Here is a 15,976-nt window from a genome sequence, read left to right as displayed (position 1 = left end):
ACTTCATATTTACCAAAGACACTTTACTCATACTTTATAAAAAAGAAAGGAGATTATAGGTTCGAAGGGTTACAATAAGTAATTTGAAAACACTCATGGATGAAGCCAAAATTCTCTGGCATGGCTGAAAAAAACCCTGTTAATATGATCCTTTTCCCTTTAGCTTCATATCTCCAGGCTCCAACTCTTGATGATAATGCTGTCACTCTCCCCACTTTCCCATGATGTATCCTACTCCTCCCCAGGATCTCACCTTCCCTAAGAAATTCCCCTGACTCCCCATATGCAATGTTTATCTCCATCATATTAGTAGGCAGAGGAAGAGCAGCCTGCTCGCTGGGCAGTTCCCTCAGCCATCATCAACACCCTTTGTGGGCAGGGACCATCTTGTCCACCTTTGCAAACTCAGCATAGCACAGCGATCAGCATTTTGGGCCCCAGAAAGGATTTTCAAACAAATGAATGAAGATCATAAATTTTCTGAGGATTAATCTTCTCAGGGTCTTCCTCTCTAGTTCATAAAGATACTTATCTACTTCTAGGACAATAGCTTATAGATGGGTTTTGGGGGTTCAAGAACTTTCAGAAGTTATGTAAAAATGTTGTCCATGTGTATTTTCTAGGGTCTGCTTAGCTTTCCTTGAATTCTCCAGTCTTACTAAAATTTAAGATCCACCACTTTAGGAATAATCAATAATTTTTTGACCTTCATAATACCAGAGAGTTCTTCTAGCTTCTTCGACCTTGTCAAATACAAGAGAGCACTCAATAAATATTTGAGCAGATACTACTATATTACTAAGACCTGTGATAATTTTCAACAATAGAGTAAACTTTATGCATGAACCTAACAGCACATGGGCAAAGCTGTGGCAATTATCTAGTTAATTGATAAATGGGACAAGAATCTTTATGAATGAAAACATCATTATTCCAATCCAGAGACTTAGTAGCCAACTTAATTTTTTTCCCATGAAGGAATGATCTTAGAGCAGTTGCCAAAGCTGGTAGCACCTAAGGCAAAAATGAAAGATAAGCAAATCTTCCCCTCCTCCCACTACTTGCTTTATTTGATAGCTAAACCAACCAATTCTGTCTATGAAAATAAAATACATACATACATGTATATAGCAATTTTTTGTGTGTGTGTGAGACAAAGTCTCACTCTGTCACCCAGGCTGGAGTACAGTTGTGTAATCTCGGCTCACTGCAACCTCCGCCTCTTAAGTTCAAATGATTCTCCTGCCTCAGCCTCCCAAGTAGCTGGGATTAGAGGCACACGCCACCATGCCCAGCTAATTTTTGTATTTTTAGCAGAGGTGGGGTTTCACCGTGTTGGCCAGGCTGGTCTCGAACTCCTGACCTCAGGTGATCTGCCCACCTTGGCCCCACAAAGTGCTGGGATTACAGGAGTTAGCCACTGTGCCCAGCCTAGCAATTTTTATAGCGGACTTATTCAGCTTTTTAAAAAGGTAAACAGCACACACATTGCACACTTTTCCTGGCTTTTCTCCTGAATCATTTTCTAGGCAGCAGGGCAAGGTGACACATCCAGACAAGAAAGGGAAGGAAAGGCTTCAGGGCATGGTGGGAGACAGGGAAATGCTGCTCATCTCCACATAGGCTCTTTCCTTCCACACAGAACAGGGACTTGTAATAATCAACCTGCATCACTCTCCCTTAGGTCCACTTCATAACCTCTCTGCACACAACTCAGAGAGTTGAATAAACGTTTTTAATAAAAAGAGTCAACAATACTCAAGCTGCAGGCTTGGAAATGGTCACGGGCACAATATTCTAACTGCCCTCTGGGAAAAGATAAAGAACAAGATTCAAAGAAATCTATTTTCTCTGTCTTCCATCTCCCACTGAGTCTCAGAAACCCTGGCCTTGGAATAATCAATCCTTTCTCCTTAATACAAAATAATAATTTGTGAAGAGTAAAAGTCAATATCTCCTTCCCTGGGCTAAGTGGTTATGTTTATTGCACTTCCTTTTTATATTTGCAAATTTACCAATAAGATTATATTTAAATAAGCAAAATAAAAAATAGTACTAAGTGAATTTCAGTATAACTATTTAACTAATACTCCTGTCAAATCACAATATATTCACTTCTATTAATTTTAATTCACTGGAGAGTCAATTCCTTATTTAACTCTATTTTTGGTGTTCAATGCATTAGTAAACAAATGAATGCTACAAACTAGTATTTCTAATTCAGGGTGGAAATGTTTGAAGAGATGTTTCAATTTTCACAATGACTAGAGAGAGTGTGCTACTGGGATTTCATGGTAAGACTGGATATGATAAACATTTTGAAATTCAAAGGACAATCCCACACATTTAAGAATATTATACCAGAAATACTGACAGCCCCTTTTTACAAAGCACTAGTGTTGATCATTCAATGGTAAGCATGAAAGAAGATTACAAGCTTCCCATTCTATCTTTCGTCTTTCTTTACAAATGAGGTCACTGAAAGAACAGGCCAAGCGGTTCACTGCCAGACTCACTGGAACAAATATTGTTTGAATGGTCAGATATTTCTTATAAAGCCTGAGGAATATGGCTAATGCTAAACTGTAGAGACAGATCCGTCAGTGTCACTCACACAAAATAATGCTGCTTAGAGGGGCACAGCTGACCTCAGACCCTTTGACTGCCCCACTACTATAAACATAACCATTATTGGAAGATAGAATTGTATATTTGCTAGTGCATGCCTCAAACAGGCAAAGGAAAGTGATTTGTTCAATTTTATTTTTTTTCTCAAGAGATAGATTGGGCATCTTATTCTTTCATGAAATGGGGAGATTTTTATTTATGACCCCAGACCTAGCACACAATGTCACACTAATCTTACCACCAGGTTGTTTCCACAGCCCTCCAAGGTGCTGAGATTGATGATAAAAATGACCACTGCTGGAAAGGTGTTGTTATTGATGAACCCTCTGCAGTGGGAGTCCCCATGCCTTCCATTCAGTGCCAGATCTGTTTCCGAATAACCCGAGAAAAGTACCGTGCAAAAATTAATCTTCATCGTAATAGCCTGCACTCCACAATAGACACTGATGTCTCTTTCAGCTGAAATAAAAATATATAAAAAACAAACATAAGTCAGAAAAGCAGAAAGATAAATAACATTAACATCCTACTGATATATTTATTCATCTCCTTTGTCTGTTTAACTCATTTTTATATTTGATACACCATAATCCAATGTGCCAGCTATTAAGTAAAGTAGACAAGAAAAATAGCCTTTTATTTAGTTATTTAAGGAGAGATCTTTGAGTGTAGAGATTACAGTTCACCTCTGTTTCCTTGTGCTTGATGTCCAGTGGATGTACATTAAGTGTTGATCAAGTATTGCCAAATGACCAGAGAATTGAGTGGAAACCAATCAGGTTACTGAGGAAATTCAGACCTAGAGCAACTGGATTATTCAGATCACCTGTCAAGAGTAGTGAAAATCACTACAAATGATGCATTTTCCCAAGTATAAGGAGAAAGCAGTTGAAATCCACCCTAAACCAAATTGTCAAGTACTTTGGCATTTGGTAACCCATCTTATGGGTTGTATAAATAAAAGCCATCCATCAGATTTCAATTTTATTTTGCCTAAATTAAATAACACTAGAGAGAAAGGGAATAAAAAAATAGTGTTGATATTATGAACAAAAATGCACAGCTCACTGTAGGAAAATTTTGCCAATGACTATGCATGCCTCAGTAAAAAAAAAAAAAAAAATGACCTAAACATGGAAATGTAAAACACAATTTGCATGGTTCTCCATGACTCCATGGGTTATCTGTGACGAGGTCTAGTCCATGTCTATAGAAGTGAGCACACACACACACACACACACACACACACACACACACACACACGGTCTTCATATCTCTATTTGGTTATTTTTCTACATGTAATGTAGAAAATGTATAAAGGAAATGGGGAGAGTGGCTGGTAGGTAATTCCCTAGTGGTAGATTATTTTACATTCATCAGTTTTGGTAATTGCTATAGGTTGAATTATGTCCCCCCAAAAAAAGATATGCTGAAGCCCTAACCCTCAGTACCTTAGGCTTTATTTGGAAATAGGTTGTTGCAGATTAAATTAGGTAAGATGAGGTAATACTGGGGTAAAATGAACCTGTAATTCAATATGACTGGTGTCCTTATAAAAGAAACATCCAATGAAGAGACAGAGACACGGGGAGAAACCATGAGAAGGCAGAGGATTGGAGTGATGCATCTACAAGCCCAGGCACACCCAAGGTTGCTGGCAAACCACTGGAAGCTAGGAAGAGACAAGAAAGGATTCTTCCCAGACTTTCAGAGGGAGCATGGCCCTGCCTGGATTTTGAACTTCTGGCATCCAGAACTGAGAGGCAATGAATTTCTGTGTTTTAAATCACCCCAGGACACAAGTTTCTGTTGTCTCAAATCACATCATTTGTGATACTTTGTTACAGCAGCCCTAGAAAACTAAGAGAGTGACTTTACCATTTTTTATTACCTTATTATACCAATTAGATAAAAAGCCTGAAACAAGACTCAAGTTTTCAACATGTAGAAACAAACAAAAACTGATTATGCTTTTCAATGGGGAAATGACCTTGATTGTCCAAAAGAGGAAAACCAAACAAAATAACACATATTTTTGGTGAATGATGGCATGTTCACCTAAGTAGTATGTAAATTTCATTCAAGTTTTTTAGCATAGAATTAATTTGCTTAAATAATTCAGTCCTAATTTAACAGTAGAAATGTTCAATAGCATTATCTCTTTAGAGTGTTTATTCTATATACATACTGGGTTTTTTTCCTAGCAAAGTGAGTCATATTTGGGGAATGTGAATAAGCAATATGGAAATGTCTATGTTTTGTAATAAGTTTAAACTCATTAAAATTACCTATAAAGAAAGATGAAAAATCTTTTTCATGGCCAAAAGGCAAACGGCTAGGTGTTATAGGAAATTCGACGCAATATTTCCTTTGTTGGTGGAAAAATAATGAATTAATTATGAAGTATACTTTGCCAACCTAGAAAATAATAAACACTACTTAAAATCAAGTATCTTCATACTTCGGCAACATTAACTATTTAAATGCAAAGATAATTTCTAAATGATACTTTTTTCTAAAATAATACAGTTTATTTTAATAAATGTTTATGAGTATCTATGAACTATATCTTAAATCTACTGATTTTTCTCTATCTACATGCTATTCCTTTGCTCATGACATCATTATCTCTCCCCTGGACTATTGTACTAGTCCAGGAACCTAACTGGTTCCTTTATTTCCAGTCTTAATGTCCTTCAATTAGTACAGCTGTTAATATATTAATCCAGTCGTGTCATCCTCATGCTCAGATTTTCAACAGCTACTTTTTGACATAGGCCAAAAGACCAAATCTTGAACTAGGTGCTCAAGTCTCTCCATAATCTGTTACCTGCCTACCTCTGCATGCTCCTCCCTCTCTCTCTCTCTTCTATGAATCTTGCTTCCTAAATTTGAATCTGAACATTTTTCATGTCTTTAAATGCATCACCTTGAGTGATAGAAACCAGAAAAGTAGTTACCTCCTGGGGTGGAATTGCCTACAATAGGAGCACGAGAACAATTGGGGGAAAGATAAAAATGTTCTCTATCTTGATTTGGGTGGAGGATATATAAGTATGTACATGTGTTAACATTTCAAGCAGTACCCTGAAGATTGGCACATCTTATTATATGTAAATTATTCCTCAGTACGGCATTTTTAAAAACATAATACAGGAACACACACAAAGTACATGTATCAGTGCTCTTTCTTCTGTTTGGAATGCTCCGCCTACCCCAAAGCTTTGCCTAAGTAACTCCTACTCATTCTTCAGGTTTCAAATTTTATTTACCCAAATACTTGACCTGATCCCAAGTCTAAGGTATGCCACTCTGTTTTATGCTGTCGTATTGCCTTAGAATCATATATGTATTTGTATATTTTTCTTAATAAACTATAAGTCCCATAGGCAGGAAAGGTTTTATATTAACCAATGTACTCCAGTGAGTAACTAGCTAATTAATCATATAAGGTACTGGAGCAACAGAGTGCACTGAGGATTCAAAACATAGTGATCATATTCCCAAGCACAGGAGTCCTCTCTTGTCTTCTAGGGATACATTCCAGGACTCCCAGTGGGTGCCTGAAACCACAGATTATAATGAAACATATATAGTATGTTCTTTCCTATATATACATGCCTATGATAAAGTTGATTTTTTAAATTAGGCACAGTAAGAAATTAACAATAATGCTAATAATTATTATGAGTAAATATTATTAAGTAAAATCAGGATTACTTGAACACAGCAATGCAATGCTGAGACAGTCAATCTGATAACCAAGATGGCTCCCAGTGACTAGTAGATAATGGACCATGGATAAGCTGGACAAAGGGATGACTCACATCCTGGGCAGGATGGAGCTGAATCGCGTGAGATTTCTTTACACTACTCATAACGGCATACACTTTAAAATGTGTGAATTGTTTATATATGGAATTTTCCACTTAGTATTTTCTGAACACAGTTGATTGCAGTTAACTGAAACTATGAAAATGAAACTGCAGATAAAGGGAACTCCTGTGTATTACAGTCCATTAGAGGAGACAGACACATTAGCGTGACCCACATTGACAGAAAGATTGCGTGGAGAGCTATGGAGTAGCGTAGAAGGCCGGCTTTGCCCAGACCAGCTGGTTAGGAATGGCTTCCTGGAGAAGATGGCATTAGCTCAGTCTTGAAGTATCAGTAGGAGTTAGCTAGATAGAGGAGTGGAAATTTTATAACACAGAGGGGACAAATGTGAATAATGAAATATGCTCAGGCTGGCTGGGAGCCAGGTAGTTCCCATCCATTTGTAATTAAAATGCAAAAGAGGAAATAGCAGGCAATGAGGACATGTGTTAGGCACAGGTGAGATTGCAGGGAACCTTTATACATAAAATGGCCTAAGATACCATCTACCTGGATGTCAAATCAAATCCTCAGCTGTTAGAGAGTTCACTACAACTTCACTTTATGCTTGGTGAAATAGAACAAGTATCATTGCACTCCTTGATATACCATAAGTATACCAAAGTGAATACCTATTAATGAATATGTCACAAAAGAGAGGTATCATTCTTCTTAACATAAACCAACTAAAGACCAGTTTCCTCAGCTCTGTTTAAGGGGATTAATTAATGCTTAGAATATCTCAACAAATGGCAAATGATTACTGTGACCAGATGTAGTGCTCTTTTCTGTTTTCCTATAACCAATTTGTAACTCCTGCAATGAAACTGAATTTGCTACAGGCTTATCCCACTTTAAGATATGATGACAAACTAAAGGCTTTCTGCAGTGTAAGAAAAGAGATCTGTCCAAATCTTTCCTAACCCAGTTTTCTAAGGACTTTTCACTAGTGTTCAGAGAAACACATTCTTTTCCTGGTTGTAGGTACTAAAGACATCCATTCAGCACAACTTTACCATTTGTGAGGCTTTGAGAAGGAAAAAAGAAGGATACCTCAAGTTGCCAAAGGGCAATTTCTGCCAAAAGGAGAGAGAGTTTTTTCAGTCACTGAATAACAGTTGCTCTCAACAGCTACACTTTTTAAGCCTTTTACTGTCCAATCCCTGGCCTGAATTATGATGTTCAAGACTACTAAACAACCTAATGAGTAGATATCTTTAGGGGTTTGATTTTTAATGTTTTATGCTTAAAGATACTAAGTATGTCAAATGGCAGGCCTGCAGACAGAGTTTATGTGCAGTTACATTGCCAAAACAGCAATGTTTTTCCCCTGATATTAATCAAGCTAAGCTTTTCATAGAAATTAACAATAATTGAATATTCAACTGAATAGGGTAAAAATAATGTTCTGTACCCTGTCGTCCATCTATCGGGCAATGGTTTTATGTATCTCAGATTTTCTAAAATTTTGCAAATTTTAAATATCCTGTCACATTATCAGCCATCTGTCTCTCCGTGTATAAAATGTGTCCTGATTTGAGGTTCATAGAATGTGGTTACTATATAAATGGAAGTAAAGAAGGTATGGATCCAGTTCTATATATATAAATAAGGATTCATTCAACTTCTTTACCCCCTATAAAGTTCTATTCCTAGAACATTTAATTACACCTTTTCCTTTACATACAATTACTGAAAATATATTTGCATTGTATTATTTACATATCTAATAATATATCTAACTTTGTTCTTGTTTTAACAATTTTATACTGACCTTACTTAAATCTAACAGCATTCAACTGAGGCTCATGGTGAGGCTTTTGATAGACTGCATCATTTTCAGTTCATCTCAGTACTGTTGGAGCCTTCATTTCCCTTCACTAGCATCAGAATGCTTAATATTTTCCAGTTATTTTATAGAATAATGAGTACAGATTAATAAATTATTCAAAGAATTTGCACATATGTATTCTGCAATACAAAGATGGCAACACTCCAAAATTTGGCTGTAGGCTGGAACTCAGCACTGTAGTGCAATGACTCAAGATATTTCTTCATCATTGATCTGAAAAAGTAAACATCTGTATGAAACGAAATTCTGGAGGTCAGTGTATAGTGTAAAAGAAAAAGGATGGGGAGGCCAGGTGTGGTGGCTCACGCTTGTAATCCCAGCACTTAGGAAGGCCGAAGTGGGTGGATCACAAGGTCAAGAGATCAAGACCATCCTGGCCAACATGGTGAAACCCCATTTCTACTAAAAATACAAAAATTAGCCAGGTGTGGTCACGCATGTCTGTAATCCCAGCTACTTGGGAGGCTGAGGCACAAGAATGGCTTGAACCCAGGAGGCAGAGGTTGCAGTGAGCCGAGAGTGTGCCACTGCACTCCAGCCTGGCGACAGAGCGAGACTCTGTCTCAAAGGAAAAAAAAAGATGAGATGCACAAGAATCAAACATGAAAAATCAGTACCATAAATTTTCTACTAGTCTAGAGGCAATTGGTTTTACTTATTTTCAAGATCTAAACTACATGCCACTTCATATCAACAACGTGTTTCAGGAAAGCATTTATTGTGTACATATCATGTGCCAGTCTCTGTGCTAGACTTTGAGATAACAACATTAACAAAAGACCCTGTTTCTTCAAGGAGCTTACTGAATAAAGAAGACAGAAGAAAAGTAAGCAATTACAATACAGCCTGATAATGATATACTAGAGATTTGTAAACAACATTATAAACAAACTTGTCTTGGTAGCAAAGAGGTGTTTGAAAGGAATTGTTAGGAAGAAATAAAATAGTTCCAACTGGTTAGATTCTATAAGGAAGTGATTAGAAGACTGCATGAAGAAAAAGGGATGTCACTGATGTGTAGGTTTGTAGCTTTGATGAGTGGGTGGATTATGCCCTAAGATAAAAAAATTCAGGGAGAAAGATGATAAGCTCAGTCTTTGAGAGGCTGAGTTACATATGAGACATTCAAGCAGAAATGTACAGCAGATAGTTGGAAATATGAGTCTAATATTTGGGGACAGAAAACAAGAAATACAAATTTGAGAATCACCAAATATTCAGTATATCAATAATAATAGTAATAGCTGAAATTACCAATGAGAGTATTCAGATAAGAAGAGAAATAAACTTAAAACAGAAAAATAATTTCAAAGCTGACCTCTGATGAGCCTTTCTGTAATTTTCCCAATGGAGTGTAATCATCCCGTCATGTTCTATCCTATCTCACTTTAACTGTGGGTCTACTGTCTCACTTACATTATATCGGAGAGTGGATATTTACTTTCCTGTTAAATTATAAACTAATAGAGTGTTCTGGGTTTTCCTAGAGTGTATAACAAATACTCAGCAAATATTTATTAAAATACATTTATTTCAATGGTGTGTAAGTCTTTAATATCAAGTTCCAACATTTACAAACAAAATATGTATACAGTTGATATGGGTTCATCTTGAATGTTCATCTATCTGTATTCTGCCAACTGCCTGAGATGATGCCTCTGTTTTCAGTTTTCAATGAACATCAAAATCCTTAATGTCTACCTTCAAATTGAGAAAATGCAACTCATTAAATAATATAAAATTAATAGATTATTGCAATTTGTTTATTTGTATTTTATCTCTTTAAGTGTATTAGCCTTGGTGACTAGTTATCTTACCCCATTAAAAATGAATTTTTAACAGTGATAGGTTTGTTGATACCTATTACTATTAACAGCAAGCAAGTGCATGATGGCCAGCTGGGGCTAGTGTAAATACTGTGTGGTTTTGTAACAACATAAAGCTAGCAGACTATCATGGGTACCATGTTCTAACCAGCACTTCTTATACTTTACTGTGCAGATGAATCACCAAAGAATCTTATAAAAATACAGATTCTGATTCAGTGGATCTGAGCTGGGGCCTGAGTTTTGGCATTTCTTACAAGCCTCCAGGTGATGCTGATGTTACAACTTCTCAGTCAATTCAGGTGCTAAGTCACAGCTTTGTATTTTGACTGGACAGAAGATAGCTCATAGGTGGATTTCACCTGGTGAGTTTAAGCCTCTTAACAAATATCTATTTGTCTGATTTACATGCTTACAAGAGAGAAAAGTTTGGTTGTAAAAGGGACGGGAGGGAGAGAGACAAGAATCATGAAGGGGTTAGAACTGCATCTGACTCCCTCTCTCATCTGAAGAACTGACTGGTTTTGAATCTCAATGAAAGAAGGCTCATAAAATGCTCGGTAAGGCTAAGTCTAAGTAAGCCTCCTTTAGTGCTCCAGTGGCAGTGTGTGAAACAAAATTGGGAACAGGATCAGCCTCTTCTCTTACCCCCATCTCTGTCTCATTCTGTAAACCATAGCAGTTTAATACCCGGAGGAAGCAGAGCAGTCCACATCAAAAGGCAGCTACACCAAGCGGGGCAGTGTTTTCATAAAAAAGCATTTCTGGCAGTGGTGGTGCCTGTAGCACTGTGGTCAAGGAGTCCAGAGCAAAGAACCTAAGTGGACCTTTCCTGAGCATGTGTGACATGCAGTCTTGGGGAATCAGAAGCAACTGGAGAGGACGGGGGTAGAGTGGCTAGTCCACAGTGAGCAGGCAGGAGGCTCTGTACGGTTCAGATGCAGAGATTCCTGTGAATATCATCACATTAGTATTGATGTACTGGTTTGCATATACTTAAAAGTAGTATTGGTTTAAAACTGATAGTATAAACAGCAATCTGTTCAATATAGTGGGAGAAAACTTTTCTGTATGCTGCAGAGTGCTTTGTGGCATGGTAGAAAATCTCACCTGAAAATAATTTACATCCTGGGCTCCGATAAATATTCCAATACTAATTTATACCATCTTTTTAAACCATAATAATAATTTATATATCAGTTCTGCTTTTATCTCTAAAACAAGAGTGGTGATATTTGGCACTACATGGGCTTACAAATTGCCTAGAGAACAGATGCTACATATGTTGTTTTAATTCATTTTTGAAAGTTAAAATTTGCTCTTACCAAGTTTTTATATAAGATTGAGGTTTTGGTGCTAAAAGAGCTAGAAGTCCTAAAGGGGTATTGATATTTCATCTACACGAAATACCAACAGCTGATGAAGAACTTAAAGTGGATTAGGAATTCAAGTTTCCTCTGTATATTGAACAGGTTTTGTGCCACCTCAGTCTTTCATCACAACATCTGTTTCTCGTTAGCAAATGCAAGCTGTTGTTTCCAGTGCTCTAGGAAGTTCATAAGCAGTCTGAGGCAAACTTTGCAGACTTATAATCACACTTGCTGCTCCACATTCTTTGGAACCAGAAAAGTTTGGTCATCTTTTTCAGGCAGCAAAAAAAGCAAATGGGTTTTATTTATAAAAACAAAAAGTGAAAATTCATGCAATAAAGAATGCTGTTATTAAAATATGGGAGAATATGGACCCTGAATTACTCATTGAATTTGCTAATTGCTATCTTCTCCACTGCACTTTATCATTGTAAATTAATCAGAATGTGATCAGCAATAGCTGCCTGGATCTGTTCTTCTGCCTCATCTGTTGTAGTAATTGCTTTCACAGGTGCAAAGTGGAAAGCAGGCATCCTCTTGACAACTTGGAGACCAAAGCACTACCACTAAAAAGTAGGAATAAAGGAGAATTGGCCTTTCCTTTCTATACAGAGAACCAGAACATATTCCCTGGGATAACTATTCCACTAACCTCTCTTACTTTGTCTTTGGGCACAGAAAAATGCCATGGTTAAGCAAAGCCTAATATAAAATTAGACAGTTCATTTTACTGAACTCACTCATGAATTCTATTGATTAAATAATTGATTCTCAATTTTACCTCCTGTGGAACACTTGTGTTCATTGAATATTAAAATATTAAAAATATTACCGAATAAAAGATTTCCTTAGTCAAGCAGGTCTTGAAAAGACTAAACAAATTCCCCCAACACATGACTTTTCAGATCCTTAGACGTGGCAATTTCCATTGAGAATCTCCACACATACATCATTTTTAAAACTTACTATTCAAATTTCATTTTTAGACATCATTGTTTGATGGAAAGAATCTCTATTAATTTGCAGATTTGCAATATTTAACAAATGTATATCCTCAGTTTTCCTACTGTAAAGGGGGTATTTAAAAAGATTTTGTAAGTTTATTGTAAGAAATGAAAGAATTCTGTGAGGTGCCTGGTACTCAAAACATGGAACTTATTGCTTGTTTCCTTATTAGTATTATTTACAGCATAATACGAAATCACATGTTATGAAACACTGACTCATATTCAGTTTCCCATGACTACTTAGTTCACCATAAGACAGTGTCAAGCCATAAAGTTTATTGTGCTATAAGGCCATTTTCCTCTTTGGATGTGCCTTTATCATTAAAGATTTCTTTAGAGGCCAGAAAGTTTAGCCTAATCCTCATATACTTCCAAAGAAGGGGGCCTGGCTTCGGAAAATATACACTAGTCACAAAGGCCAAGTACATTCATCTGTATGTTTTACTTTAACCAAATAATTCCTTGGTACTCTAAATTCAACTATACTTTGAGTTTTATTCTAGAATCATCACAACTGTAATTTTAGTGGTTCATGAGTCTGCTTTTTGCTATTAGCTTGGATAACCAAGAGTTAACCACCTCTAAAATTAAATGGCATTCCTTTAAATTTAAATGAATTAGACCATGGTGCTTCTCTTGGTCCCAGGATAAATGCCATGGAAATTAAAGAAAATAGTTCTAATGTCATGAAACAGCAAAGGTCACATAGGGTGAGATGATTGCTCTCATCATTATTAACATTGCTTTGCATTTAGATAGCCCCTTTCCTTTGCCAGACTCATTCTCATTCCATCCCATTGCTTAGCCTCCGAGCAGCTTGTGGAGCTCCTGATGACATCAAGGGTGATCGTGATGTGGAAGAGATACTGAGAGTCAAGAGGGCAGTAAGCAATTAATCTTTAGGCTTTATTTGCTCACTCTGATCTTCTTTTTGCAAACAACCTCCAAAAAAATGGGTTAAATAATACCCATCTAAATATAAAGTCTCTCCCGGGACTTCAGCGTTATTTGGATTTTATTAATATTTGTGTTATTAAAATACAAATTTAGTGTTTTTTAAATACAAATTTTAAAATTGTAACTGTGTGTGTGTGTGTGTGTGTGTGTGTGTGTGTGTGTGTGTGTGTTTATGGGTGTATGTGTTTATGAATATATGTCTGGAAAGTTTGGGTGTTTGTTGCCTAAGCCAGATAGTACCTAAAGTGCTAATGTGTGTAAGAAAAAATACAAACAAAACACAAATATAATTGAAAATAGAGGAGGAGACTTCCTCCCTTTTTCTGACAGCATTTACTTTAGAAAACTTGTAATTAGAAGTACTTTCTCCTCTCTTTGAAGTGTGTATTAATCCTTTTGAAAACTAGATAGGATTCTTGTAAGCTTTGTGACCCAGGAATGTCTTTCTCAAGGATCTGAGAGTCATCTCTTTGAAATGTAAACATCAAGGGAGATGGTAGCCTTATGTCCCTGTTTCTGCGCTTAGGGTAGGAGCCTAATTTTGATGTGAGCCTTGCTCCAAATTGCAAAATTACCTCCTGTCATAAAGATATGAGAAGTTACTTTTTCCTCTGGATAAAACAAATCAGCTAACACAGATGGTCACCCTACTTACCAGGTAAAGTGAGGATTCATATGTGTGACAAATGGTCCTGTCAAGTCCTCTTACTTGAGGACTAGTTATTGTCTATATTGAAAACATATGTAATGAGTTGTCTCTGCTTGGCTATATATAAGGGCGAGGTTTCTTTCTGTTTTTGTAATCTCTTACTGATTACCTGTGATGTGAATCACATTCTGGTTTAATGCTTATTTAATGATAAAAGTGTTTTTATTTCTCTACTACCTAGGCAGAGAGGATTTCTAGGTTGGGAGAAGATTTTGTTTTTAGTTATATTTCCACAACAAATAATTGTGCTTTTAATTGGAATAATTGGCTCAAGAAAATGATAGAATACACTATCAGTTGTTCTTAACCATAAATGTACATTAGATTCATCTGCAGGGTTTAAGATACAGATTCCCAAGACCACATTCAGAGATTCTAACATCACTTATTTGAGGTGAAACAAGTTGAGTCCCCACTTTTAACAACTAGCCCATATGATTTTGATACAGGTGGTCAGTAGATGCCATTGTAAACAGACTTTTTAACATGATTTTTTAAAAATTCACCATATGATAAATACTTCGTTTTCCTGTCATAGTTATTTCATGGCTCTTTAACATGCCTTATTCACCTTTACAAGTATATAACTACCACACCAGTCAGATCTTCTCTGTTGAGCAATCATTTTATTACTTGGCCTTCTTATCCATCCATAACAGGGTCATGGCTTGATCACCCTTCCCAGGCCGCCAGCGACTCTGATGAGAGCCACTGCCTCCCACTACACTGAGGGACTGAACACAATTAGCATCTCTCACCTTCTCCAACTGTGGCTTTATCTCTCCTTCTCACTTAAATCAAACAAACAACTACACTTTTCCAAGGTTAACTCCTTCATCTGTACCATTGATTGCTTCGGTATTTTCTTTTCTCATTTCATCAATTATTCTTTATTTGAATTTCCATTTTTTTAATACTCTCCCTTTACTCATGTATGCTCAGGCCTCTATAGTCCCAGGAATTGATTTCAACTCCTGCCTCAGGTTGCTCCTTTCTTTTCTTTCAATTCCTGGCTCAGGTTGCTCCTTTCTTTTTTTTTTTTTTTTTTTCCCAATCACAAAAGTTATCTAAATAGTAGTCTATTTTCATACTTTTTATTTTCCTACTCCCTACTCATTGCTTATCCATTGCACAGGGAATAAACTCTCATACAGCAATCTTCAGTTTTGATCTTTCTTCTCAGACCCAGCTCTGTATTTCCTACTACTGAATAAAAGAAACTGCCACTATATATTCTAAAAATGCCTCAAGCCCATCATTTCCAAACTTGAACTTCCTTTCTAAAACATGCAAGTGTCCTATGTTTTTTTTGTCAGTTAACAGCATCAACATCCAGTTGTTCCAGTTAAAAACATCCTTTAATCTTCTCTTTCTCTCACCTCCCAAACCAAATCAATTCTCCATTTCTGCTGAGTCTACCACAAAAATATCTCTTAATAACTGTCCCCTTGTAATGCTTCCACTGCCACTGCCTTCAGGATATTTCTCTCTGCCTCTAGTCTATTCTAACTTGATTCTATCTTACACACTTGTCCTAATGTCTCTTCCTAAAACAAAATGTGACCACATCAAACCTCTTAAAAGATATGTTTAAAAAGACTCAGTGACTCTTGATTGCATTCAAAATTAAGAGAAAACACTTTTATTACACTACATAACACATGTTCTCACCAAAATAATTGACTTGAATTTACTTAAACTTCTAGCTCTCATTGGTTTACAGGATAGACAGGAAAAAGGAGCCTGTTCAA

General features: G+C 36.5%; 1 protein-coding gene across 4 annotated transcripts in view; it reads right to left on the bottom strand.

Moving 5' to 3' along the window:
- Nucleotides 1-15,976, bottom strand: part of ZPLD1 (zona pellucida like domain containing 1) — a 94,698-nt gene that overhangs the window by 23,836 nt on the left and 54,886 nt on the right. For all 4 annotated transcript variants that reach the window (XM_017005703.1, XM_017005704.1, NM_001329788.2 and 1 more), the window contains one exon: nt 2,867-3,087. In XM_017005703.1, the coding sequence (XP_016861192.1) occupies nt 2,867-3,087 (221 nt within the window). The remainder of the gene's footprint in view (nt 1-2,866; nt 3,088-15,976) is intronic.

This window comes from Homo sapiens, chromosome 3, assembly GCF_000001405.40.
Source record: "Homo sapiens chromosome 3, GRCh38.p14 Primary Assembly".
Lineage (NCBI taxonomy): Eukaryota > Metazoa > Chordata > Mammalia > Primates > Hominidae > Homo > Homo sapiens.
Note: the sequence above shows the minus strand (reverse complement) of the source record. Positions and strands in the feature narration are given on the sequence as shown.